The 26,166-nt window shown below is 38.7% G+C and overlaps 2 long non-coding RNA genes across 3 annotated transcripts in view; both read left to right on the forward strand.

The window, feature by feature from the left end:
- GNG12-AS1 (GNG12, DIRAS3 and WLS antisense RNA 1) overlaps window positions 1–26,166 on the forward strand; it is a 370,700-nt gene that overhangs the window by 121,710 nt on the left and 222,824 nt on the right. The gene's annotated exons all lie outside the window — the stretch shown is intronic.
- LOC124900403 (uncharacterized) lies at window positions 154–24,381 on the forward strand. 2 transcript variants are annotated; one of them, XR_007066162.1, is made up of 3 exons: window positions 154–1,787; window positions 2,064–2,265; window positions 21,384–24,381. It is a non-coding gene; the product is annotated as an uncharacterized LOC124900403 (long non-coding RNA). The 2 variants fall into 2 exon arrangements; XR_007066161.1 differs by having other exon boundaries at window positions 2,159–2,265.

Below are 26,166 nucleotides of genomic sequence, written 5' to 3' on the forward strand. Positions count from 1 at the left end.
GTAGCTGGGACTACAGGTGCCTGCCACCATGCCCAGCTAATTTTTGTATTTTTAGTAGAGATGGGATTTCATCATGTTGGCCAGGATGGCCTCTATCTCTTGACCTTGTGATCCACCCCTCTCAGCTTCCCAAAGTGTTGGGATTACAGGCGTGAGCCACCGTGCCTGGCCCAAATTGTGTGTTTCTTAACGTAAACATTGGGAGGGAGTTTGTCCTAATGGAAAGAGGACCAATATCAGAGTTGGGGTATCTGTGCTCTACTTTTGATCTTTTTCAAGACATATTATTTTATATATATTCTGTATCTTTTTGGATTGTGTACTATCTTCCTATAGCAATGGTCCTCAACTGTGGTGATTTTGTCTCCTAGAGGACAATTAGCAATGTTTGCAGAGATTTTTTATTATTACAACTGGGGGAGAAGGAAGGTGCTACTGGTATCTTGTTTGTAGAGGCCAAGGATGTTGTTCAACACACTAAGATGCATGGATACCCTCCCAACCCCAAAGAATTATCTGACTCCAAATGCCAGTAGTGAGGTTGAGAAACACTGCCCAATTATGGTGTGGAAAATTGATGTTAGAGTTGCAAGCGAAAAAGCCAGAAGATGAGTTAGGAGAAAATGGCCACGGTCTAGGGGAGAGATGATGGTGCTTTAGACTAACATAGAGGCAATGGAAATAGAAAAGTAGTGAGATCTTACATCAATTTTGGAGATAAAAGTGATCTGATATTGAGAGGAATTATGTGTGGGAAGTGAGGATGGTGTCAAGGATGACTGCCGAGTTGCTATAATGACCTTCTACGTAAATGGAGATAGAGTTACTGAAATGGAGACTTCCAGAGGAATAATAGATAATACTTAAAATGGATCTTATTTTATGTAAATTCTGGTCTAAGTATACTAACCCATTTAATCCTTATAACAACCCAGCAAGATAAGTGCTATTAACATCCCCTTTTTATAAATGAGAATAAAGAGGCACAGACAGGTCAAGTAACTTGCTCAGGATCACCAGCCAGTAGTAAGTGGGTTTTGAATGCATAAAGTCAAATTCCAGAGTCTATATTCTTAACCACTACATGAATCCACCTTTTGGAAGAACAGATCTAGAGAGAAAGATCACATCTCTTTCCATGACTTCATATCCTTCAATCCTAAGATCAGAGTGCATGGTCAATCACTTTAATATTTTCCTGTGTATTTTAACATTTTCCTTGTGAATATTCCCATTGTATTCACAAGGAAACCCTCCCTCCCCCCAACTTGAACCAGTAATTTTCCTGCTCTCATACCAAGGTGCTGAACATTGCTGGAGAAGTCCACAGAGCTTTGGCCACTGTTATAATTATGAAGTCATGAGCACACCTGTCCATGGAACTCTCCATAGCAGATCATTCTTCTATTTCTCAAGAGCATGTTCTGTCACACTTTCCACACTGCCTTCCCCAAATTCACTCTGCTCAAGTCCCCCACTCCATCCTCGTGCCTCCACACAGTCTGTAGATAATGCTGTACTTTATTTCATCACGAAAATACAAGCACTGAGTTGATACTGCTTCATCCTCTGAACACTCCCTACCTATAAACCAATCTATATTCCCATCCATAGCTTCTTTCATTCCCAAATTAGTGAAAAAGGTATCTTTCTTCCCAAGTAAGGTAAATCCGTCCCTCATCTTGTGCTCAGGATTCCTTCTCATTCGGCCTCCCCATGGATCATTCTAACACTGTCTCAACTCTTCAATTTCTCTGACTTGTTCTACACCTGCCCAGCACTTAAAGGTACTCAATGCTGTGTTACACAATCACAAAGTGCTGTTCTTATCACAGCTCTTGCTTAGTTGACATCAAATGTGAGAGAATAATATTCAGTCACTAGGGTAAACCTGAACCACAAACATTTCAGCTCTTTGGCTACAAGGCAATTTTAAATTTTAACCTATGTCTGTAAGAGCATTTATACCATGAGTAAAAGTTGCTGCTTTCTTTTCCAGTTCCAGAGCAATCATTCAAGTCAAAACTTTTAGAAGATAATATACAATCATATTTCTTTCCCAGGAAATAATTTTTACAATCACAAGGAGGAACAAGCCAGAGGCACTCTTGCCCTTAACATAGGTCTACTCTGATGTTGTATTTTCCCCATCCCCCAGTATCTGGCCAAATGAATACATGCAGGAGATGAAATATGGAGAAAGAACAAAAGGACTAATTCCACTTGTGAGAGATGAAGGAACAGGAGCACTCTCATGTTTCTTAGGTAATGTACATTCTTTCCTTCATTTACTCAGTCATTGAAAAAGGGTTGTTGAATTCCTAACATGAGTCAGGCACTAAGGAAAGCAAATGCTAAACCTGCCCTTCAAAACTAGTGGGGGCCCAATACCTTTATAAATCATCATAACACAGCTCCACAATCCCTTGGCCACATTTCCAAAATCCAAGGGACTCTGAAAATGGAAAGTTGATTCAGAAGTTTACAACTCTTGTTTGACAGTAAATCTGGCCAGACTGATTTGAAACCTTTTATAGACTTCATACAAGCCGGGTATTCAGACATATCCCTCAAAAATAGTAATATGTTAAATTTATAGCATGCTGCCCCAGAACCAATAGGGCTGCTATGAATATTAAAATTCTGAATTTGGAAATGCTTCTGGCTGCAAGATTTTCTGTGTAGGGAGAGTACATGCCTGTGTAGAGGGACTGTGATGAGGAAGAAACATTTATTGGGTATAAATATCATGCAAATTGCTTTATATACATTATTTCACTTAGACCTCAAGACAGCCCAGTGAATTAGGCCTTGTGGTCCCATTGTACAGATCAGTAAACTGGACCCCCATTAGCTTAAATAACTTGCATAAAGAAGGGGCATAGTGAGGAGTAAAACTTATATTTGTTGCTATATGCATGCTGATATATAAATCAAATCATTTAGGTGTGACAGAGAAAATTTGGATCTGAGCAGGGTTACTCACTAACTCATATTATGTCATAAAAGACATGAAAAAGATCTGCAGAGCCATATAGACTCATGTTTTTAAAAGAGTCAGAGAGGGGCACTCAGAGGATGCGGGCATGCATACTGTTTTAGGGCTTTAGGGAACGTATCAAGAGGAGGTGGAATTTGAGCTGATTCTTAAGCAGTAGGCAATCATTTTGCATGTAAGCTGATAAGCATGTTTAGTCTTCCCTGCTTGATGGAAAACAGACTCCTGGAATGGGTTTCTGGCATCTGTTCTTATGGGAGCTTCCCCAGCGGATTCTTCCTTATTTCACTCTGTGAGTGGAGACTGAGCTGGGGCTCATGGTTATGCATGGGCTGTTTCCTCTGGGGTTAGGAGTGGGCCTCTGGATTTGGGTCCTGCATACTGTGCCCAGGTGCACAGGTTTTTGAAGCTCGGCACCCAGGCTACCAGCCAAAAGAAGCGCTCTGGGGATCTCATAAAATGGATTTCATTTGAGTAGAAAGCTTATTTTTGTCCTGAGTGGTTGTACATCAAACTCCTTTCACATGTCTTGGAACAATGAAAAAGGTTTGGCTTGGCCTTTCAGGGCTTGTAAGAGCCTAGTTTCCTCTGGGATTTACAGAACACTGGTCTTGTCCTCTCTGGGTGGTATAGGAAAAATGCTTCCATCACAAGTTTCTCTGGTGGCACATCCATTTTTCACCTGGGAGGAACCTACAAATTGAAATGTTTGGCTCATAATGTGGAATAGCAGAATGTTGTTAGCGCTTCTGTGGTGGGGTTGGTTGAAAGGATATTGTCTTCATGCTAGGCTCTGAGGTGTTAAATGAGAAAACGGAACAAACAGGAAAACCAGGACCTGGTCAGACTCAGCCTATAATCACTGCTGAGAACTGGAAAAGGAATTTTCAGCAGGACAGTCCTACTCTGGGGCATTCCCTCCAGGCTGGACAGGCTGAGAGTCAGAAATGCTGGGCTATTCTAGAGGTACCACTAATGGGCCTGCAACCATTTTATCCTTCTCTCTGTCCAATGAGGGAGAAGAACTAGATAATCTTTCAGGTTCCCTCTCGTTTCATAATTCCTGTGTCTGTGATTCCAAGTTTTTAATTTCACATGGAAAATATTTGTTGTAAAACCAAGACAGTATGTGATTGTTTAAGTGGGAGCCAAAGAGAGGAAACTGGGGAGAGGGTTGTGTCAGAGGATCACCAAGTGTAATGAGTGCAACAGGAGAATCAGACAGTAAGGAGTCAATGTGCACTGCAACCCCTGCTCAGAGCTAACCACACTCTGAGGAGCAGCTCTGATCTCTAATAATTTTTTTTTTTTTTGAGACAGGGTCTCACTCTGTCACCCAGGCTGGAGTGCAGTGGCATGATCGTGGCTCACTGCAGCCTTGACCTTCTGGGCTCAATAAATTCTCCCACTTCAGCCACCTGAGTAGCTAGGACAATAGGCCCCTCCAACCACGTCTGGCTTTTTTTTTTTCTTTTAGTAGAGACTGGGTTTCCCTGTGTTGCCCAGGCTTGTCTTGAACTCCTGGGCTCAAGTGATCCTCCCAGCTTGGCCTCCCAAAGTGCTGGTGTTACAGGTATGAGCCACCACACCTGGCCCCTAGTGAATTTAATAACCTACCCTGTGCCTGCTCCATCTGTCAGGCCAGGGCAGAGTCAGCAGTCAGTTTTGGCTGCCAGCCTAGGATAATGATTACCTAGCCAATTGGAGATTGGCCTTTCATGTGCACCTGTAATGGAAAAATTACAGAGCTGTCTAGTTTCAGAGCTGACATCTAGTGGAGCCTTGTTCCATCCCACTCTAAGTCTGTTTCTTTCAAGCGATACATGTTGGTTAATAACAACAGCTGAAAGCCAATGTGGTGTCTTTGTGGATCAGCATTTTATCGTTTTGGGCCCAAGGCTTTGCAAATATACCGTGCTCTTTCACAATTGGGGATAGGAGGGGATATCAAGTTGTAAAGGGACCCTAAAAGCATGAGGGTATATACTATTGCATTTAAAATTTCATTTAAAAATTATTAAACTATGCAAATAACACCATGCTCATTTAACTGCAGGGCTTCAGTAATGTTGCATCTGATCATAGAAGTAGCCAATATTTAAAAAGTTTCTAAAATGCATCTACTTATTCCCCAAAGATATATGAGTCACCTCCATGTGTTAGGGCAGTGCTAGAAGCTGGGATTACCCAGGTGAGCTGGATTAGTTCTCTGCCCTCAAGGGGCTTATAGCATCAAGGGGAGACAGATGTCTAACAAAATAATTATAATGCAGTATAATGCAAGGTGGTGGGTCCTGTGACAGCAGTAAGGACAAAGTGCTTTGGAAGCACAACAGAGAAACAACAGATGGATTAACTGAAAAGTGTGTGTGTGTGTGTGTGTGTGTGTGTGTGCTTGTGTATAACAAGGGAGCGTTCCCTTGGTGGAGATAAGGATGCCACTAAGGGTTAAAACAATTACACGTTTAATTGATGGCAAGCACGGGAATGAAATTCTATAATTTCAGGTGCAGTGGCAGAATTGCTAAGCCACAGAATACATATTGTGATGGTAAGTACAGAAGAGAGGTTCATTCATTGGGCGGATGGTTATTCTCACCTCCTATGTCACAGATGCTGTGAGAAGGCTGTGCTTTAGCAGTGGCAAACAGGAAGACATAGTCCCTGCCCTTGGATTTTACATTTTGGTTCAGGAGATAGTCCAGAAATAAGTAAACAGATAAACAGATAAAAGTTGTCAATTATAGTCAAGAAAGTAAGCAGAGAGTGTGGATGTAAACCGTGGTCAAGTTTCCTATGAAGGAAATTTCAAAAGAGCCGCAGCAGGATTGTGGGGGAGGCCCATGGGATAGGGTGCCAGCTCCTGGGGTGAAGTTTAAGCTGAGCTGGGAAGAGTAGGAGGGGCTCACCATGAGAAAAGTGGTCAGCAGAACGTCTGGCAGAAAGAACAGCATCAGTGAGGGCTCTATGCATGAAAGATGTTTTTGGAGGACTGGGGGAGACTAACGAATGAGGCAATGAATGAGGTAGTGAGAGAGGAGGAGAGTGGTATAAGGAGGCTTCGGGAGGAGCTCTGTGCATCCTACTCTCCACTCCCCTCCTGATCCTGCTGCTCCTCAGCCATCCTTCTTCCTACGACTTCCCACACATTGACAACAAAATACAGGGTCCAGCTAGGGCCCATGGGCCTCTCCCAACCTTGTTTCCTGCCACTCTTGTCCTTGCTCCCTGCCCTTCTGGACACTCTGTCCCTCTTGCTTTTACTCAAACTCCCTAAGCAGGTTCCCATACCAGAAATTGGGCACCTGCTCTTCCCTCTGCTGGGGATGCTCTGCTCCTGGTCATTACCAAGATGTACTCTCTCTATTCACTTACATCTTTCCTCAAATGTCAGCTCACTAGAAAGGCCTCACTTGACCACCCATCCCGACACTAGAGTAGATACACCCCATCACCTGACACTCTGTCTCCTTGTCCCGCTTTGTTTTTTTGTAATACTTCATGCTCACTCCCAGGCATTTTAAGATACCTTTTCTTGTTTATCTGTTCATGTTGCCGTGTCTTCCACTGGCATATACACTTCATGAAGTGTACATGTCAGGTCAGGGCTGGCTTCATGGGTGTGTGATCTGTGCAGTTGACCAGGGCCCCATGCTCTGAAGGACCTGTGCTTGGATTCATCCTCTGCTATTGCTGTCTTGAGATTCTTAATAATTTTGTCTTTTAACTTGTGTGTAGTAAGTGAAGCCCAATGTAGCAATGGAGTGTGCACAGAGAGCATGAGCAGAGGCAGTGCACTAGAGAATGGCACACATATGCAGTGTGGTCGAGCAGCAATGCCTATATGCATGGGCAGCCTGGCCAACTGATATGCCTGCACACACCATGAGGCAGCTGCTGTGCTGTGGAGCCCTGAGACAGTGTCCAGGCTTGGATTGGCAGTGGTGATGCAAGGCCAGCAGCAGAAGCAGCAATAGGCATGGCTGTAGAAGTGAGAGTGGCTCTGCATGGAGGAAACTTCCTGAACCCCTGATGGGAGGTTGGCTTGCCTATCCATCCATCCCTGGAGCCTGCTTCCAAGGTTTTACGAATTCTTGGCCAAAGTGCTGGGACAGAAATTGCTGGTGCTCAGCCAGTAAACTTTGTGGGCAAATAATAACAAGATAAAAGTCCATAAATTGACATTGCAAGAAAGCATATCAGGGAGATATAATTCTTCAGAGTCTGAAATCCTTGATTTTGAAAACTACTATAACATTGCTTTACTATTCACTAGCTTAGAAATAGAAACTAAAGTGGAAGATTATTGCATTCAACAGAAAACACTGTTTTCACGTGAATCTTCAGACGAACCCATTATCAATAAGGAAGACAATTTTAAAATGATTTTTTTCTTATAATTGAAGATACAGTGATAGAATGTATAAGCATGCATTTTGAATTATATACAAATCATGGAGCCACTTTCCGTTTCTTATACAACCTCCATAAGTTAAAAAGCCAGAAGAAACATTTAAATACGATTATGTAAATTAGCATTTAAAATTAAATGTATAGACTTACATGAAACTCATTTGTATGAAGAGTTAAACCTTTTTAAAAAATTGTTCCATAAGAATCATCAGCTCTAGAGAAAATAAAATTTATATTTAAAAACAATTTGTCTGTAATTTATCTCCATGGTGTCACCACCTATAAAATCCTTTTAACAGCTCCAGGAATAGCTGCATTAGCAGAAAGATCCTTCTCAAAATTAAAAAAAATACTAAAAATTATTTGCAATCTTGTATTTATCAAGAATGATTTATGTCTCTTTAATTATATGTATTGAAATGAAGTGGCTAAAAGTATAAAACTTGATGACCTAATAAATTAATTTGTAAAAAAGTGAGCTAAACAAAAATTTTATGATTGATCAAGATGTTACATTAATATTATTTATCGTATAAAGTTACAAAACCAGAAATATTATTGCTTTCAACATGTAAGTTTATATTGTTACTCACTACTACACTTATTATATTTTATAAATAATGAAATATTTTTAAAGTGGTTCAAGAGACTAAGTAAAGGAGTATTTACAGAATGAGCAGAGTTAACCAACAAGGAACGTTAAAGGAGCATAGATTAGCAGCAGTAGGGAGATTTTACCACAATTGGTACTGTAGAAGCAAGAAGAGAGACGTGTTACAGATCCCATGGAGAGCTTGGGCCACAGAGGAGGGTTTACCTGATAGGATCTTGTGGTCTAGAGGGATGCAGCCATGACCAGAATCCATGGCCCAAACCCCTGGGAGTAAGGGGAAGAAATACCCTGATATCTCTCACCTCTCATCTTCCAATCTCCTGTTGTACTTTCTATTGGCTGAATGCCACCAAAAGCTGGAAGGCAAGGGAGGCTGGGTGGTAAAAGTCTACAATGGACAGCCTCCTGGAGTATAGAACAGGGTAGAGGACGACAGAGAAAAGATCGCTCTGTGTGTGTGTGTGTGTGTGTGTGTGTGTGTGTCTGTGTCTGTGTGCGTGTTGCAAACTGAGAACAAGGACTTTTGTCTGTTAAATCCACTGCTATATCCCTAGCACTTAGAAAAGTGCCTGACACATGGTAAGTGTTCAAAAAAATACCTGTCAAATGAATGGAAGATAACCTCACATGTGATTTAGCAGTGCTAGAGGCTTCCTGTAGATCATCATTCCTTTCTTCCTCATCCCTCTTGTGAATGCTTGCTCATGAATGCATCTTGTTCCACTGGGAAGGATCTGCAGGAGGAACCTCTGAGGCCTCAGATGTCAGGTGCTTATCCATCCACAGCTGCCTTGCAGGGACAGAAGCCCAGATGGCTTGGCTGTCCTCTTTATAAAAACTTCTGTGGCTCAGGCAGTGCTCTCGTGGTAGACCCAGCCCTCCTATCTTAGCCACAGCTGATGGCCAGATCAATATGTGACACAAAGTCACAAAAAGTCTTCTGTCTCTGAAGGGGGCCTGGCAGGATGTATGCTCAATAGGAGCACTCTCTTTTGAGAGCTGGTAAATTGGTAAAATCCTTCTTTTGAAGAAGCATACCTGTTGGGTGAGCAATGAGGAAGTGGATCTTTTCCTGCTCTTTCATGCCTTGCGCTAAGGACTGGAAATGGGCAGAGAAAGGCACTAACATTTGTGAGAACCTACTATGCGCCAGACATTTTGTAATTGTGAGAAACTACACCTAACATGTTGTATCCATGATGTGACAAGTGTGTAAAGACAGAAAACCAGTAGACTAAGCATGGCTAAGTGAAAGGATAAAAAAGATTTCATTGATGTTATTGTTCTGCCTCTGTGCCAGTGCTAGCAATCACCAATCTCAATTTATTGTCACATGAAGAAAATACTTACCTGTATTTTTGTTATACATAAATGCTTGTTCCCTGGTGCCACAAATAACTAGCACTTAAACATAAATTTAATTCTTTCAGCAAGGCAATCTTTATTTCTGCAGAAAGGGTGCTCTCACCATTATTTCATCTGTGATGAGCACCCTTTCTGCAGGAAATAAAGATTGTCTTGCTGAGAGAATTAAATTTATGTTCAAGTGCTATTTCTTTGCAGCACCAGGGAACAAGCATTTACATATAACAATTTGTTTCTGCTGATGTTATTTGGGTATTGTGTTAATAGCAGCATTCCTAATGGCTATGCTAGTCGCCGTTTCAAGATATAACTCTTCTCTTTCCTCCTCATTCTCTTCTGCTTTTATCTGCCATTGGCAACCATGAGCATTGCTTTGTTTCACTGGGAGCTCTTTCTTCTGATGAATTTGTAGGAGTCTCATGAAATTTTATTTTCATACCTAGTATGGGGTTTGAGGACACAGCTATTAAGTGTTTACAGATACATTATTACTTCTTATTACTTTATTTTATTGCTCTATTTGGCTGTATTGGAATAATCTTTGTGTCATACTCGTGTTATAATTTTTAGAGTGGTAATTTAGTTTTAGCTGTGTGTGTGTGTGCGTGTGTGTAACTCCTGGAACTGTAGATTTATGAGGGACAATACAGTGGGAAATGTGCAGCCTAAATCTTAACAACAGGGCATGTTGGGATGGGAACATAAAGCACACAAATAATCAGTACAACACTTTTAAACAGGAGTTTTGTGAAAGTGAAGTTGTTTTAAATTACCCTTTAGAAACAGGAGATAAAGTGAGGGAGTAGAAAGGCAATAAAGGCTGAAGGATGAGGAAACTGTCTCCTAATGAAATTAGCTGAACTTTTAGCCTTTGTCTCCAATTGCCAAAGATGGTTAGCTATTACACTGAGCCATGTGAAATTGCTGACAGTCAACGTTTTTTGACCTATTTTATCCAAGATAATTATAGCCTTAATTAGCAACAACCCAAGCTTCAAAAAAGAGGAATAATTTCTTACTATTACTATTATGTTTTTATTATATAAGAGACACATGTTTTCTGAAGAAAAAAGAAATGCAGATAAGTGATGATATGGTTTGGATCTGTGTCTCCTCCCAAATCTCATGTTGAATTGTCATCCCCAATGTTGCCGGAGGGGCCTGGTAGGAGGAGAATGAATTATGGGGTGGACTTCCCCCTTGCTATTTCTGTGATAGAGTGAGTTCTCATGAGATCTGATTCTTTAAAAGTATGTAGCACCTCCACCTTCTCTCTCTTCCTCCTGTTCTGGCCATGTAAGATGTGCCTGTTTCCCCTTCTGCCATGACTGTGAGTTTCCTGAGGCCTCCCAAGCCATGCTTCCTGTACAGCCTGGGGAGCCCTGAGCCGATTAAACCTTTTTTCTTTATAAATTACCCAGTTTCAGGCATTCCTTTATAGCACTGCAAGAATGGACTAATATAAGTGAAAACAAAAAATGGTCACATATGCATATATAATATTGTATTTAAATATGCTCTTTTTGCTGCTTTTTTAGCATTTCATCTTTCTGTTTATACTGCCCATCTGTTCTCACATGCTATCTACTTTATCCATTAGAGCACTTTCCATATTAATCACAGTTATTTTAAAGATTTGCTGTAAAGCAACTGTTGTTAATAGGCCTTTAGTCATGTGGTGTTAAGCTGTCTGGGAGGGGAAGCATTCTTGGGCCCTATAATTAGGTCTCAGCCCTTTAGTGAGCTTGTGCCTTGGCCTGTGGACTTCACAGTACTTCATCAGTTTCCCCCCACCTCCTTGCACCCACTTAGGTGGGACAGAAGAGCTACAAAGGGCTGGAGTTGGTTAGACTCTGGAAAAAAACTCAATAGTTTAGGCTTGGTAAAATATTTTCTCTTGAGGTTAGGCCTTGCTAAGAACAGAATGCTCTGGTGTATTTAAAAATGGTTCCTTTTCCCCTTCTCCCTGCCAGACATGAAGCTCTAGGGAGTTTTTCTCTGATATTCACTGTGAGAACCTGGTTGAGCTTCTGGAGGTAAAGTTCACAAAAGTGTGGAGCTCCTCTATGAATGAGTCCCCCTGGAGTTTTTAACTCATGGATTTGCCCACAGGGATCCTGCAGTAATTCATCAATTACACTTCAGGTTTTCTTACCTCCTCACTGGTTTCCATGGAGATTTCTATTCAGGAGTTTCTGCTCTGGTAAATTGTGATTCTCGATTCTCTGAATATGTGTGTCTGTCTCTTCAGTTTTGGGGACAGGGGTATGTCTGTGACCCCACTTCTCTGACAGATCTAAGAACAGTTGTTGATTTTTCATTTTGTTTGGGTTTTTACTTGTTAGGAGAGAGTGATGACTGCCAATCTCCTGATCAGAAATGAGAAGTTTACATGTTATTTGATAACTTGATTTTTTAAAATTTACAATATATTGTGAATATATTTGATACCAGTTAACTATATTTTTTAAAGTTTGATACGTATTTCATTGTGTGGATATACCATAATTGATTAAAGAACTAGCAAAACTTAATGGTTAAAAGCACAGTTGCTGGAGTAAGACTACCTGAATTCAAATTCACCTCTTCCACTTATTAGCTGGATGATTGTGGGCAAATTAGTTGACCTCCTTATGCCTCAGTTTCCTAGCCAACAAAATAGAGATAATACTAGTACCTGTGTCATGGAGTTTTTGGGAGGATTAGATGAGTTAGTAAATATGTAAAGTCTGTACAATAGTGCCTGGTACATAGTGCCTCTATGAATGTGTTAGACATTAAGTCATCTTCTGCTGTTGGGTGTTTCTGTTGTTTCCAGTTTTTTACTATGATAAATAATCCTGCAATGTCTCTACTTAGATCACAATCTTTGTTCACATTCTTAACTGTATTCTTAGCATATATGTCTATTAGGACACCATTTTGACAAGTGACAGAAAATCCAACTCAAAAGTGGCTCAAGCAAAATAAATAAGTAAATAAATAGTGCTATGGTCTGAGTATTCAGACCAATTTCCCCTTCAAAATTCATATGCTGAAATCTTAATCCCAGTGGTGATGGTATTGGGAGGTGGAGCCTTTTGGTGGGTGATTAGGTCATAATGGTAAAACCTGTATGAATGAGATTAGTGCCCTTACAACAGAGACCTCAGAGAGTTGCCTTGCCCCTTCCACCCTGTGAGGACACTGCAAGAAGTCTCCATCTATGAACCAGAAAGTGGGCACTCGCCGGATACCAAATCTGCCAGAGTCTTGATCTTGGGCTTCCTAGCCTCCAGAACTCTCAGAAATAATTTTTTTAAATTTATTTATAAGTTACCCAGTTCATGGTATTTTGTTTTAGCAGGCCAAACTGACAAATACAGATAGATACTTTAAAAGTAAATAAAAGTATTGGCTCACTTAAGTGCAAAGTCCAGGACTGGTGCTGTTTGATCCAGGTACTGAAACATTTCTTGCAGGACTCAGTGCCTTTTTATTTCTCAGCCTTACCCTTTTTCATACTGGATTTATCCTCAGGCTTTACATGGTAGCAAAATGGCTCCAAGCCAAGTCCTCCTGGATTTGATTCTAGCTAAAAGAAGGGACAGTTTCTCTTTCTTAGAACTGGATGAAAGTCCTGGGCCATACTGGGTCATGAGCCCATCCTTGAATCAACTACTATGGCTGGAGGAGTGGAAAGTACTGAATGGCTTAGCCCTGGAGCTGGAGAGGTATCAGTCCAACGCAAATCATGGGAAATAGTCATATAGAAAGGATGGCTTCATAATCTGAAATACTAACAAAACAAAACAAAAAAAGAAAGGAGAAAGGACACTGCGTAGCCAGAAAATAAAAGAAATATTAATTTCTTAGACGAGGTATTTCTGGGTGAGGAGGATTCTGGATTAAGACTTTTGATACATTTTGCCAACTTTTTTTACTCCAAAAAGTTTGTACCAATCTGCTTTCTCATTAGCAGTATAAAACGAGCCATTTTCTGGGATTGTAGCCAACAAAATATTTCTTGTATTGTTTTTCTCAATCGTATTTCTTGATATGGTAGGCCAGAAGAAAGTATTTAATTTCAATTTGTAGTTCCTTGTAAATTGAATTGCATATTGGTTTGATATATTTGTATGTGTTTATTGGCCATGTGCATTTATTCTTTTGTAAATTATGGCATTTCATTGATTCTAAGACACCATTGGTTATAAAACAGACCATTATTTTGTGTACCACCAAGAAATTTTAAAGAAACAAACCCTCTGCGACTAAAGTATTACAGAAATACTTCTTTTTTTATTTAATTTAGAAGAGGTTTGCTGATTTTAGAGATGTTAAAATATAGAACATATGCATCCTTGAATCAATGAAATATGGTACTTATTGGGCTGGGGGCAGTGGCACAACCCTGTAATTCCAGCACTTTGGGAAGCCAAGGCAGGTGGATCACTTGAGCCCAGGAATTTGAGACTGGCCTGGTCAACATGGAGAAACCCAGTCTCTACTAAAAATACAAACATTAGCCGGGCATGGTGGCACACAACTGTAGTCGCAGCTACTCAGGAGGCTGAGGTGGGAGGCTCGCTTGAGCCCAGGAGGCTGAGGTTGCAGTGAGCTGAGATCGCACCATTGCACTCCAGCCTGGGCAACAGTGAGATCCTGCCTCAAAAAAAAAAAAAAGATACCTATTAATGATCTCTTTTTTATTATTATTACACATTTATCTTTTACTTATTGAATTTGTTAGTGATTTATTATAGATATTTTTCCATGTTTATAGTTCCACTTATAATTTTAATTATGGCATTTTAAAAAACATACTGATGTTTATATTTTTAGGAAGTAAAATTATTAATATTTTCATTTATTGTTTCAACCTTTGATGTAATATTTATGAAGGTATTTTCCATTCTTAGACTATTCAAAGATTTACATAAATTTACTTCGAGCATTTCTACTATTTTTTTTTACTTTGTATTTAATCCACCTAGAATTTATTTCTTTTTATGAAAAGAAAAAGTTTCAAAATTTTGTTTTTTCAAATGGTTACCTGCTCATACACCATTTATTAATTAGGCATCCTTTCTCCACTGATTTGAAAGATTACCTTTATTGTGTGCTCAATATTTCTATAAAAATGGGTCTATTTATTTATTTAATTTTTAGTTTTTGTGGGTGCATAGTGCATGTATATATTTGTAGGGTACATGAGATATTTTGATACAGGCATACAATGTATAATAATCACATCAGGATAAATGGGGTATCCATCACCTCAAGCATTCATCCTTTCTTTGTGTTACAAACAATCCATTTATACTCTTTTGGTTACTTTTTAATGTACAATAAATTGTCATTGGCTGTAGTCACCCTGTTGTACTATCAAATACTATATTTTATTCATTTCTATCTAACTATATTTTTATACCCATTAACCATCCCCACTTCCCCCACCCTTTTCAGCCTCTAGTAACCATCATTCTACCCTCTAACTCCATGAGTTCAATTTTTATTAATTAATTAATTTTTGTTAATTTTTAGCTTCCACAAATAAGTGAGAACACGAGAAGTTTATCTTTGTGTGCCTGGCTTATTTCACTTAACATAATGTCCTCCAGTTCCATCCATATTGTTGCAAGTGACATGTTCTCATTCTTTTTTATGGCTGAACAGTATTCCATTGTATATATATGTACCACATTTTAAAAAATCTATTCATCTGTTGATGGACACTTAGATTGCTTCCAAATCTTGGCTATTGTCAACAATGCTGCAACAAACATGAGAGTGCAGATATCTATTTGATATACTGATTTACTTTCTTTTGGGTATATACCCAGCAATAGGATTGCTGGATCATATGGTAGCTCTATTTTTAGTTTTTTGAGGAACCGCAGACTGTTCTCCATAGTGGGTATGCTAATTTACATTCCCACCAACAGTGTATGAGAGAGTCCTTGTATTAGTCTGTTTTCATGCTGCTGATAAAGACATACCCAAGACTGGGCAATTTATAAAAGAAAGAGATTTAATGGACTTACAGTTTCACATGGCTGGGGAGGCCTCACAATCATGGCGGGAAGCAAGAAGGAGTAAGTCATGTCTTACATGAATGGCAGCAGGCAAAGAGAGAGCTTGTGAAGGGAAACTTCTTTTGAAACCATCAGATCTCATGAGTCTTATTCACCATCACGAGAACAGCATGAGAAAGACCTGCCCCCATGATTCCATTACCTCCCTCTGGGTTCTTCCCATGACACATGGGAATTGTGAGAGTTACAATTCAAGATGAGATTTGGGTGGGGACACAGCCAAACCATGTCAGTCCTTTTTTCTCCACATCCTTACCAACATTCATTATTGCCTGTCTTTTGGATATAAGTCATTTTAACTGGGATGAGGTAATATTTCATTGTAGTTTTGATTTGCAGTCCTCTGATGATCAATGAGGGTTCAGCACCCTTTCATATACCTGTTTACCATTTGTATGTCTTCTTTTGAGAAAGAAGACTTGTATGTCTATTCAAGTCTTTTGCCCACTTTTTGATGGGATTATTAGATTTTTTCCCATAGAGTTGTTTGAGCTCCTTGTGTATTCTGGTTATTAATCCTTTGTCAGATGAGTAGTTTGTAGATATTTTCTCCCATTCTATGGGCTGTTTCCTCACTTTGTTGATCGTTTGCTGTGCAGAAGCTTTTTAATTTGATGTGATGTTCCTTCTATATCCAGTTTTTTTAGAGTTTTTATCATGAAGTGATTTTGAATTTTATCAAATGTGTTTTCAGCATCAGTTGAAATGATCATAGGGTTTTTGTCTTTTATCCAGTTGATGGGATGTGTCACACTGATTCATTTGCGGATGTTGAATCATCATAGCATTAAATCCCATTTGGTTATGATGAATCACCTTTTTAATGTGTGGTCGAATGCAGTTTGCTAGTATTTTGGTGAGAATTTCTGCATCAGTGTTCATCAGGGATATTGCCCTGTAGTTTTCCTTTTTTGGTTTGTCTTTGGTTTTGGTTTCAGGTTAACACTGGCCTCATAGAATGAGTTTGGGAGTGTTCCCTCCTCTTCTACTGTATTTTTTGGAATAGTTTGAGTAGGATTGGTACTAGTTCTTCTTTCAAAGTTTGGTAAAATTCATCAGTGAAGTCATCAGGTCCCAGGCTTTTCTTTGCTGGGAGACTTTTTATTATGTCTTCAATTTTATTACTTGTTATTAGTCTGTTCAGGTTTTGGATTTCTTCGTGGTTCAATGTTGATAGGTGCATATGTCTAGGGATTTTTCTATTTCTTCTAGGTTTTCCAATTTGTTGACATATAATTGATCATAGTAATCTTTAATGATACTTTGAATTTCTGTGGTATCAGTTTTAATGTCTCCTTTTCCATCTCCAGTTTTATTTATTTGAGTCTGCTCTCTTTTTTTCTTAGTCTGGCTAAAGGTGTGTCTATTTTGTTTATATTTTCAAAAAACCAACTTTTTGTTTTGTTGATTTTTTTTAGTTTTTTTTTTTTCATTTCAGTTTCATTTATTTCTGCTCTGACTTGTATTATTTCTTTTCTCCTACTAATTTTGGGATTGATTTGCTCTTGCTTTTCTAATTATTTAAGATGCATCATTAGATTGTTTATTTGAAGTTAATTTACTTTTTTGATGTAGGTGCTTATTGCTGTAAACTTTCCTCTTGGTACTGCTTTCACTGTATCCCATAGGTTTTGGTACATTTTGTTTCCAGAAATTTTTCAATTTCTTTCTTAATTTCTTCATTGACTCACTGGTCATTCAGGAGCATATTGTTTAAATTCCATGTATTTGTATAGTTTCCAAAATTCCTCTTGTTATTGATTTCTGGTTTTATTCCATTGTGATGAGAGAAGATGCTTAATATTATTTAATTTTTTTCAATATTTTAAGACTTGTTTTGTGATCTAACATACAGTCTATCCTTGAGAATGATTCATGGGCTGAGAGAAAGAATGTGTATTCTGGAGCCATTGGTTGAAATATTCTGTAAATATCTATTAGGTCCATTTGGTCTATAGTGCAAATTAAGTCTGATATTTCTTGACTTTCTGTCTGGATGATCAGTCCAATGCTGAAAGTGGAGTGTTGAAGTCTCCAACTATTATTGTATTGGCGTCTGTCTTTCTCTTTAGATCTAATAATATTTGCTTTATATATTTGGGTGCTCCAGTGTTAGGTGCATATATATTTAAAAGTATTATATCTTTTTGCTGAATTGACCCCTTGATCATTATGTAATAACCTTCTTTGTCTCTTTTTATAGTTTTTGTCTTGAAATCTATTTTGTCTAGTATAAGTATAGCTACTCTTGCTCCTTTTTGGTTTCCATTGGCATGGAAGATCTTTTTTCATCCCTTTATGCTAAGTCTGTGTGTGTCTTTATAGGTGAAACGTGTTTCTTGTAGGCAGCACATCTTTAGGTCTTATTTGTTATCCTTTCAGCCACTCTGTCTTTTGACTGGAGGGTTTAATTTATTTACATTCAATGTTATTATTGAAAAGTAAGGACTTATTCCTACCATTTTGTTATTTGTTTGCTGGTTGTTTTATGGTCTTCTCTTCCTTCTCTCCTTCCTTCCTATCCTCCTATTAGTGAAAGTGATTTTCTCTGTTGGTATGTTATAATTTCTTGCTTTTTATTTTTTATGTATCTCTTGTATGTTTTTTCATTTGCAGTTATCATGAGACTTGCAAATAATATAATCTACTATTTTAACTGATGACAACTTAATACTGATTGTATAAACAAACAAGCAAGCAAAAAGGAAACAAATAAAAACTCTACTCTTTAACTTCTTCCCCCTGCTTTTTGCTTTTTGTTGTATCTTATTATACCGTCTATGTCTTGAAAAGCTGTCAAAGTTATTATTTTTGTTAGGTTCATCTTTTAGTCTTTCTGCTCAAGATAAGAGTAGTTTACACACACCAAAATTACAGTGTTATAATATTCTGTGTTTTTTTTCTGTGTACTTACTATTACCAATGAGTTTTTTTACCTTCAGATGACCTCTTGTTGCTCATTAACATATTTTTCTTTTAGACCAAAGAACTTTCTTTAGCATTTCTTGTAGGACAGGTCTGATGTTGATGAAGTCCCTCAGCTTTGGCTTATCTGAGAAAGGCTTTATTTCTCCTCCATGTTTGAAAGATATTTTCTTTGGATATACTATTCTAGGAAAATGGAAATGTTTTTTCGTTTGGCACTTTAAATATGTCATGTCACTCTCTCCTGACTTGTAAGTTTCCACTGAGAAGTATGCTACCAGAGGTATTGAAACTCCTTTGGGAGTTTTATTATTAAATACCTTGAGGTGGTCTTCTTTGGGTAAAATATGCTTGGTGTTCTGTAACCTTCTTGTATTTGGATATTGATATCTTCCTCTAGGTTTTGGAAGTTCTATTATTATCCCTTTGAATAAACTTTCTATCCCTATTTGTCTCTTAAAGGCAAATAACTCTTAGATTCACCCTTCTGAGGCTATTTTCTAGATCTCTATGTGTGTGCTTCATGCTTTTTTTTTATTTTTAAATTTTGTTTCCTCTGACTGTGTATTTTCAAATAGCCTGTCTTCAAGCTCACTAATTCTTTCCTCTGCTTGATCAATTCTGCTTTTAAAGGACTCTGGTGCATTATTCTGTATGTCTATTACATTTCTCAACTCCAGAATTTCTGCTTGATTCTTTTAAATTACTTCAATCTCTTTGTTAAATTTATCTGCTAGGATTCTGAATTCCTTCTCTGTGTTATCCTAACTTTCATTGAGCTCCCTCAAAACAGCAACTTTGAATTCTCTAAGAGGTCACATATCTTTGTCTCAAACAGATCTACTTACAATATAATGACATACCTCTATATTCTTACACCAGCACCACATTGTTCAAATTCTTACAGACTTACAATGTATTCTAATACCACATTTCATTGATTCTAAGGTTTTAAAAAACATTTTAAGATCTCTGATATCAGAATGTCTCTTACAATAGAAAAAAAAGAATTATATCACAACTTAACTGTGAGCATTTAACATTTTTAATAGTATGTAAAAAATGGTTTCTCTTATAGTCAATAACACTTTCAATTGAATAAGTTATGGGGTATAAAATGTTTATCTACCTGCTTAATCATCCTTTTTAGTATTTTGGCTCTTATCTGTTTACTCTTCCATGTTAATATTAGAATCACTTTGTCAAAATATTTTGTAATTTATTGAGAATTGTGATAAATTTATTAATTTTAAAAAGTATAATCTTCAAAATATTAAATATTTTCAAATTCTTCTTTAACTACCGTCAATAAGGTTTTATGGATTTTTTAAAAATCTAGCTTTTACATATTTTTAGACTTTTTTTTGAGACAGGGCCTCAGTACATACCCCAGGCTGAAGAGCAGTGGTATGATCACAGCTCACTGTAGCCTCAACCTCCAGGGCTCAAGTGATCCTCCTACCTCAGCAACCCAAGTAGCTGGGACTAGAGGCACGCACCACCACACCTGGCTAATTTTTTGTATTTTTTAGTAGAGATGGGGTTTCACCATGTTTCCCAGGCTGATCTTGAACTCCTGAGCTCAAGTGATCTGCCCACTGCAGCCTCCCAAAGTGCTGGCATTACAGGTGTGAGCCACTGTGCCCAGCCTTTTAGATTTTTAAAATATCAACTTTAGTTTGTAATATGGTTTGGCTCTGTGTCCCCACCGAAATCTCATCTCTAATTGTAATTCCCACGTGTCAGGGAAGGGACTTGGTGGGAGGTGCCTGGATTATGGAGGCAGTTTCCTCCATGCTGTTCTCATGATACTGAGTGAGTTCTTACAAGATCTGATGGTTTAAAAGTGTTTAATAGTTCCCCCTGGATCTCTCTCTCTCCTGGTGCTTTGTGAAGAAGGTGCTTGCTTCCCCTTTGCCTTCCACCTTAATTGTAAGTTTCCTGAGGCCTCCCCAGCCATGTGGAACTGTGAGTCAATTAAATCTCCTTTCTTTATAAATTATCCAGTCTCAGGTAGTTCTTTATAGCAGTGTGAAAATGAACTATACAGTTTGTGCATATGCATCACTATGAATGGGATCTCTTTTGTATTATATCTTCTAAATTGTTATTCATCCTGCATGGAAAAGCTGCTGATTTTTGTTTGTTTGGGCATATGGAATTTATCCTGAGAACTTAGATATCAGAAAAGAAATCAGGAAAAAGTAAGAAGTTTATTATAATCAACTCTCTTTCCCCCAAAATGATTAGGTGACAGAAAAAGGCATTAAGAAAGGAAATTAAAATAATATACAAATGCTTTATTTTAGCCATAAGTTTGGATCATCTTTGTCAAGCAACATTTTGTTGGAACTATATGTGACTTTATTAAGTATGTGTCTTGGTCACTTCAGGCTGCTATAACAAAATAACTTACACATCACAAAATGATATCTATTACAATTCTGAGGCTAGAAGTCCCAAGTCAAGGCACCAGCACATTTGGTGTCTAGTGAGGGCCTACTTTCTGGTTCGTAGAGGGCACTTTCCTGCTGTGCCCTCACATGCTGGAATTCTGGGGCCTCTTTTATAAGGGCACTAATCCCATTCATGAAGGTTTCCGCCTCCATGATCTAATCACCTGCCAAAGGCCCTACTACTTAATACCATCACATTGGTGATTAGGTTTCAACATATGGATTTTGGGAGGATACAAATATTCAGGCCATAGCAATGGAGCACAGAAATAACTATGCTGGGAAATTTCACATTGCTCCTGAAGGTCTCAGTGCCTTTTTGGGGTCCAGAGACTTGGGCTCTGGGTCTGGCTCAGATCAGGTGAGATCCTACAGGAGACACTCATATTTTTAGAGCTATACTTCCTCATCTGTAAAATGATGACTTTGGGCCAAATTATTCTAAGATTTTTCTGCCCTAACATTCTGGGGACTATTAATGAGTAATAAAATTGACTGATGAAGTTTATCCCCTTTTTGTCATTACCTATCCTCAGCCAGCAAAAAGAAACATTAGAAGACAAGGACCAAGTGAAGGAGCCAGAGAAACAAGGTGCCCATATAATATATAATATCAACATTCAACCCTCGAGTACCTGAATGTTGTATCGCACTGCTGGACAAAGCACCAGAGCAGGCATTGTCCTCTGGTACCAGGAACCATCCAGTTTATTACCAGCCTTTTGTTGGTAGCTCTTTTGCCCCAGATAATGTCCTATTTGATTTTGTCTTGACTAAGCACCTGCCTGTACCTACTGCCTTGTAAGAAACAAAATCTGAAAGAAGGAAAAAGAAACATGGTAGGAGCATAATAGCTGGCTGTTTATTCACTGAAGGAGCATTTATAGATCTTCTTTCTATTTAGGACCCAGAATGCACCAAATACCACGAGTGGGACTTTTGTAGGGACCAGGTATAATCTTTCCTCTCAACAATGGGTTACAGATATATAAACAAACATTCATGCAAAGGATTATTTTAGGTGCTATGATAGAAATCTTAATTAGATATTGTGGGGATAGAAAAGAAAGAGTTTAATTTTGCAAGGATGACCAAGAAAGGCATAGAGTTGCTAAGCCTGGTTCCATTTTGAAAGGCAGAGGTGGAGAAGGATATGTCCATATAGGGAATGGCAAGAGCAGAGGGGCAGGGGCATGACCCAGCCTGGAGAGGCTGCAGGTCTAAATATAGGCTACAGGGATGGGCACAGGAAAAATACTAAAGGTATGTTTAAACCGTGTTTAAAACATTGCGGAATTTACCTCTTAGTGAAGCTATGGCAGGCTTTTAAGCAATGGGGTTCAGTGGGCAAATTTACATTCTAAAGAGATCATTCTATCGTATGAAACCTGCATGATTTGAGAAGGTTTCAATGCACTGACAAGGAGTCTAGTGAAGAGAGAGCTGCAGTAGTCCAGGTGAGAACAAAGTCCACATTGACATGAAAAAGTGGAGAAAGTGGCATGTCTATGTGATGATGGATTAGTTTTCTATCATGGCATAACAAAACATCACAAACTTGGTGACTTAAAACGGCACCCATTTGTTAGCTCACAATTCTGTAGTTCAGAAGACTGGGCCTGCTGTGGGTATGTTCTCTGGACAGTGTCTCACAAAGTTGAAACCAAAGCGTCAGCTAGAGCTATAGCTCTCATCTGGGGCCAGAGGTCCACTTCCAACCTCATTCAGGCTGTTGGCAGAATTTATTTTCTTGCAGTTGTAGGACTGCAGTCACAATTTTCCTAGTAGCTGTCCCACGGTAGCCACTCTAAGCTGCTAGAAGCTGTCCCTCTCCATCTAGAGTTCTCGACATGGATCTTCATTTTCTTTTAGAGCTATACTTCATAGCTCTTCATTTTCTTCATGTTGGCTGGATTGCATCTCTCTGATTTCCCTTTCTGTGACCAGCCTGAATAAACTCTCTTCTTTTAAAGGACTTGGATGTTTAGATTACCCAGATAACCTCTTTCCTTAAAGTTATCTATATGATATTACCTAACCTAATATCAGGAGTAAAATTATTCATATTCACAGTCCCAGGGATTATGCATGGTGTGTACATGGCAGGAAATCTTAGGAAGGGTCCTCTTAGAATTCTGCCCCCCACAAATGGTACAAAACAACAATAACAAGAGTAAAAAGTAGACTAGATAGACACTGTTTCCAATTGCATGAAGGAAGAAGAAAGAGGAAAAGACTCAGTGATTTTTTTTGGCTGGGTGGTATAATTACCAGGGTAAGGAGGATGAAAGGACAAAGGGGCTGGGATTCTACTTTGGGCTTGGTGAGGTTGACGTGTCTGTGAGCTATGCAGTTAGTCCAGGAGACAGTAGGATTAGGAATACAGGAAAATAGTTGGGAAAGAAATACAAGATTTTTAGTTAGTAGCAGATAGATGCTAGGAACACCATGGGACTGGATAAAATGGGTTTTATTTTAATTGTGTAAACTTCTCTGCATTCCTAAACTATATGTTCCTTGATGGCAGATCTATGTGTTTCCATTTCTGTATGTTGGGTGCCTTCCATATAGTATGTGCTCAGGAATGTTATGGATGGATGAATTGTTGAGATTATGCAGGTAAAACATTCTAAGTAAAAAGTTAAGGGCTGAGAACAGAACCCTGGGCAATGTCAGCATTTATGGAATGAGCAAAGGATGAAGAGTCCATGAAGGGGGAAAAGTCAGGTGGAAAATCAGAAGAGAGCAGTGCCTGCAAAAGACAGGAGGAGAGTCTCAAGAGGAAAAGCTACCATGAAAACAATACTGAACATTTTACTGAACAATTACTCTCTGCCAAGTAACGTGTGTGAAGTTTACTTAATCCTCAAAATAATCCCATGGTGTAGGAACTCTTTTTATACAGAAGAGGAAGCTGGGGCCCAGAGACGTAAAATTTTTCCTGGATCACACTACTGGTCAACAAGAGAGATGAACTCTAAGTCCTGGACACATGACCCCAGAGCCGAAGCTCTTAAACACTAAATTACACAGGTGTTCTACCCCTTCTCCCTTCTTGCTGAAGAGAAAAAACTCCTAACCAGGACAAACAGAAAACCCAGTGGAAGAAATAGCATTTGGCCCTTGATAGATGGGCTGTACTTTAGCAACGGAGCTGGAGGAAGCCCAGGTAGGTTTGCCAGATTTAGCAAATAAAAATACAGGACACACAGTTAAATCTGAATTTCAGATTAAGATTTTTTCTTAGTATAAATATGTCCCCATTATATAGCATGCTCCAATCAGGCTAGAATTTTTACTCTCCCTTTTTACTTCTACGCTTCATAGCTCATGCTCTTCATCTCTACGGCACACTGTACCCTTTCTTTTTGCCAGTCTTAATGTTACCCATCCTCGAAGCCCCATCCATATTAACTGTCATTTGCCCAGCATTCCTACCTAAAAAATACATTCATATGGATGACCTCATTTGATTTACAAAGCACTCTTGCAAGTAAACATGGTATGCATTATTAACCCCTTGTGCAGATGAGAAAACAAGCTTGGGATGCAACATTTTTTTTTCTTTTTTTTTTGAGATGGAGTCTTGCTCTGTTGCCAGGCTGGAGTGCAGTGGTGCGACCTCACCTCACTGCAACCTCTGCCTCCTGGGTTCCAGGGATTCTCCTGCCTCAGCCTCCCGAGTAGCTGGGACTAGAGGCACGTGCCACCACACCCAGCTAATTTTTTTTTTTTTTTTTTTTAGTATTTTTAGTAGAGATGGGGTTTCACCATGTTGGCCAGATGGTCTTGATCTCTTGACCTCGTGATCTGCCCACCTCGGCCTCCCAAAGTGCTGGGATTACAGGCGTGAGCCACTGCTCCTGGCTGGGATGCAACTTTCACAGATCATTCATTCATGTAACTGGGACCCCAGGGTCTTATGACAGCAACTTTCATTCTTTTTCCACGAATTCACACTGAAACTAATGTCAGCCTTCCACTTTGATTCTCAGTGCTCAGGTACCTCTCCTTTTTCTTGACCTCTCAGTTTGGCTCTTGATTTAAAGTTTACTCTTGTTGTTCAAGTCTTACATTTCCAAGAACACTTATGTTCTCTCAAGACAGGAATCCGCCTTGTACAACTTTGGCCCCTGCCCTTCATACATATCCAGTTGAAACTGATTAATTTTCTCCAAATCCTGTTAAATGATCTTGAAAATCACTCAGGTCTGAGCAATCCTCCAAGTGTTCCGAGTTCTTGGCAGAGTGTGTCACCAGTACTTGTGACTAAAACTGGTATTTTTTTTTTAATTTCATAGAATGTAAAAAATTGTGGTCAAATATTCTTCCCTAATATCCCCAGCTTAGTGATTTCTTCTGGATAGACATTCCCATCCACCACAGAAATGTCCAAAACAAATAGCCAAGGAATAGGCAAGTTTATCTAATAGTAATTTATTCTTCCATTCTTCATTCAACGGCACTTAATAACACCTGCAATATGCTAGCTATTGTGTTAGTCAGTGGAGATCAAAGATGAGAGAGATGCGGTCCTCCTTTTCTAGGAATTCACAGTCTGTTGGAGGTGACTCAACTTTATACAAATACCAGAGGACAAAGCACAATAGATAAATGACGTGAAAATTCAGATGTGGGAGGTAGTTATCTCCAGCTTGGAAAAGGAAAGGATAACCTCAGCTTTTAACCTTGATTCTCCTCTAAAATTCATACAGCCAGTCCTGATATACTAATCATGTGGATTTTAGCCTCAGAATAATTACTGTGATTATCTCAAGAATTTTAAAAAGGACTAAATGCTAATGTGAAAAAAAATGAAAACTCAACATGAGACATTAGAGGAAATTGTTAAGTACAGTGGGGAAGGTTGAGAATTCCCACCCCCTCTCATCTTTGGCTCCTCTGCTCCAGTGAGAAATGGCATACCTCATTCTCTGCTTTGTATTCATTATTCTTTTACTTATAACCATCTTACAGAATGAATCTCTTTCTCCGTCTCTCCTTCTCCCTCTCTTCCTCCCCCTTTATGTGATAGACGTATCTGTCTTTCATATCTTATTTATCCTAGTATACTTCAGAAATTGCCTTTCTTGATTTGTTTCTTGCAATTTCCTGTTTTGTATCATTCATTCATTATTCATGCCAGCCAGTGTTTGTAATTGTGATTTGGTAATTGTTATTCAATGAATGAGTATCAGCTTGAATAACTCAGCTACAAAATCATAATACTTTATATCATTATTTCACTTTCTAGTTTCTTAAATATTTTTGTGTGTCTACTTTTTTTTTTAATCTCAAAGACTTTATGACATTAGTCAT

The sequence above is a fragment of the Homo sapiens genome, chromosome 1, assembly GCF_000001405.40.
Source record: "Homo sapiens chromosome 1, GRCh38.p14 Primary Assembly".
Taxonomy (NCBI): domain Eukaryota; kingdom Metazoa; phylum Chordata; class Mammalia; order Primates; family Hominidae; genus Homo; species Homo sapiens.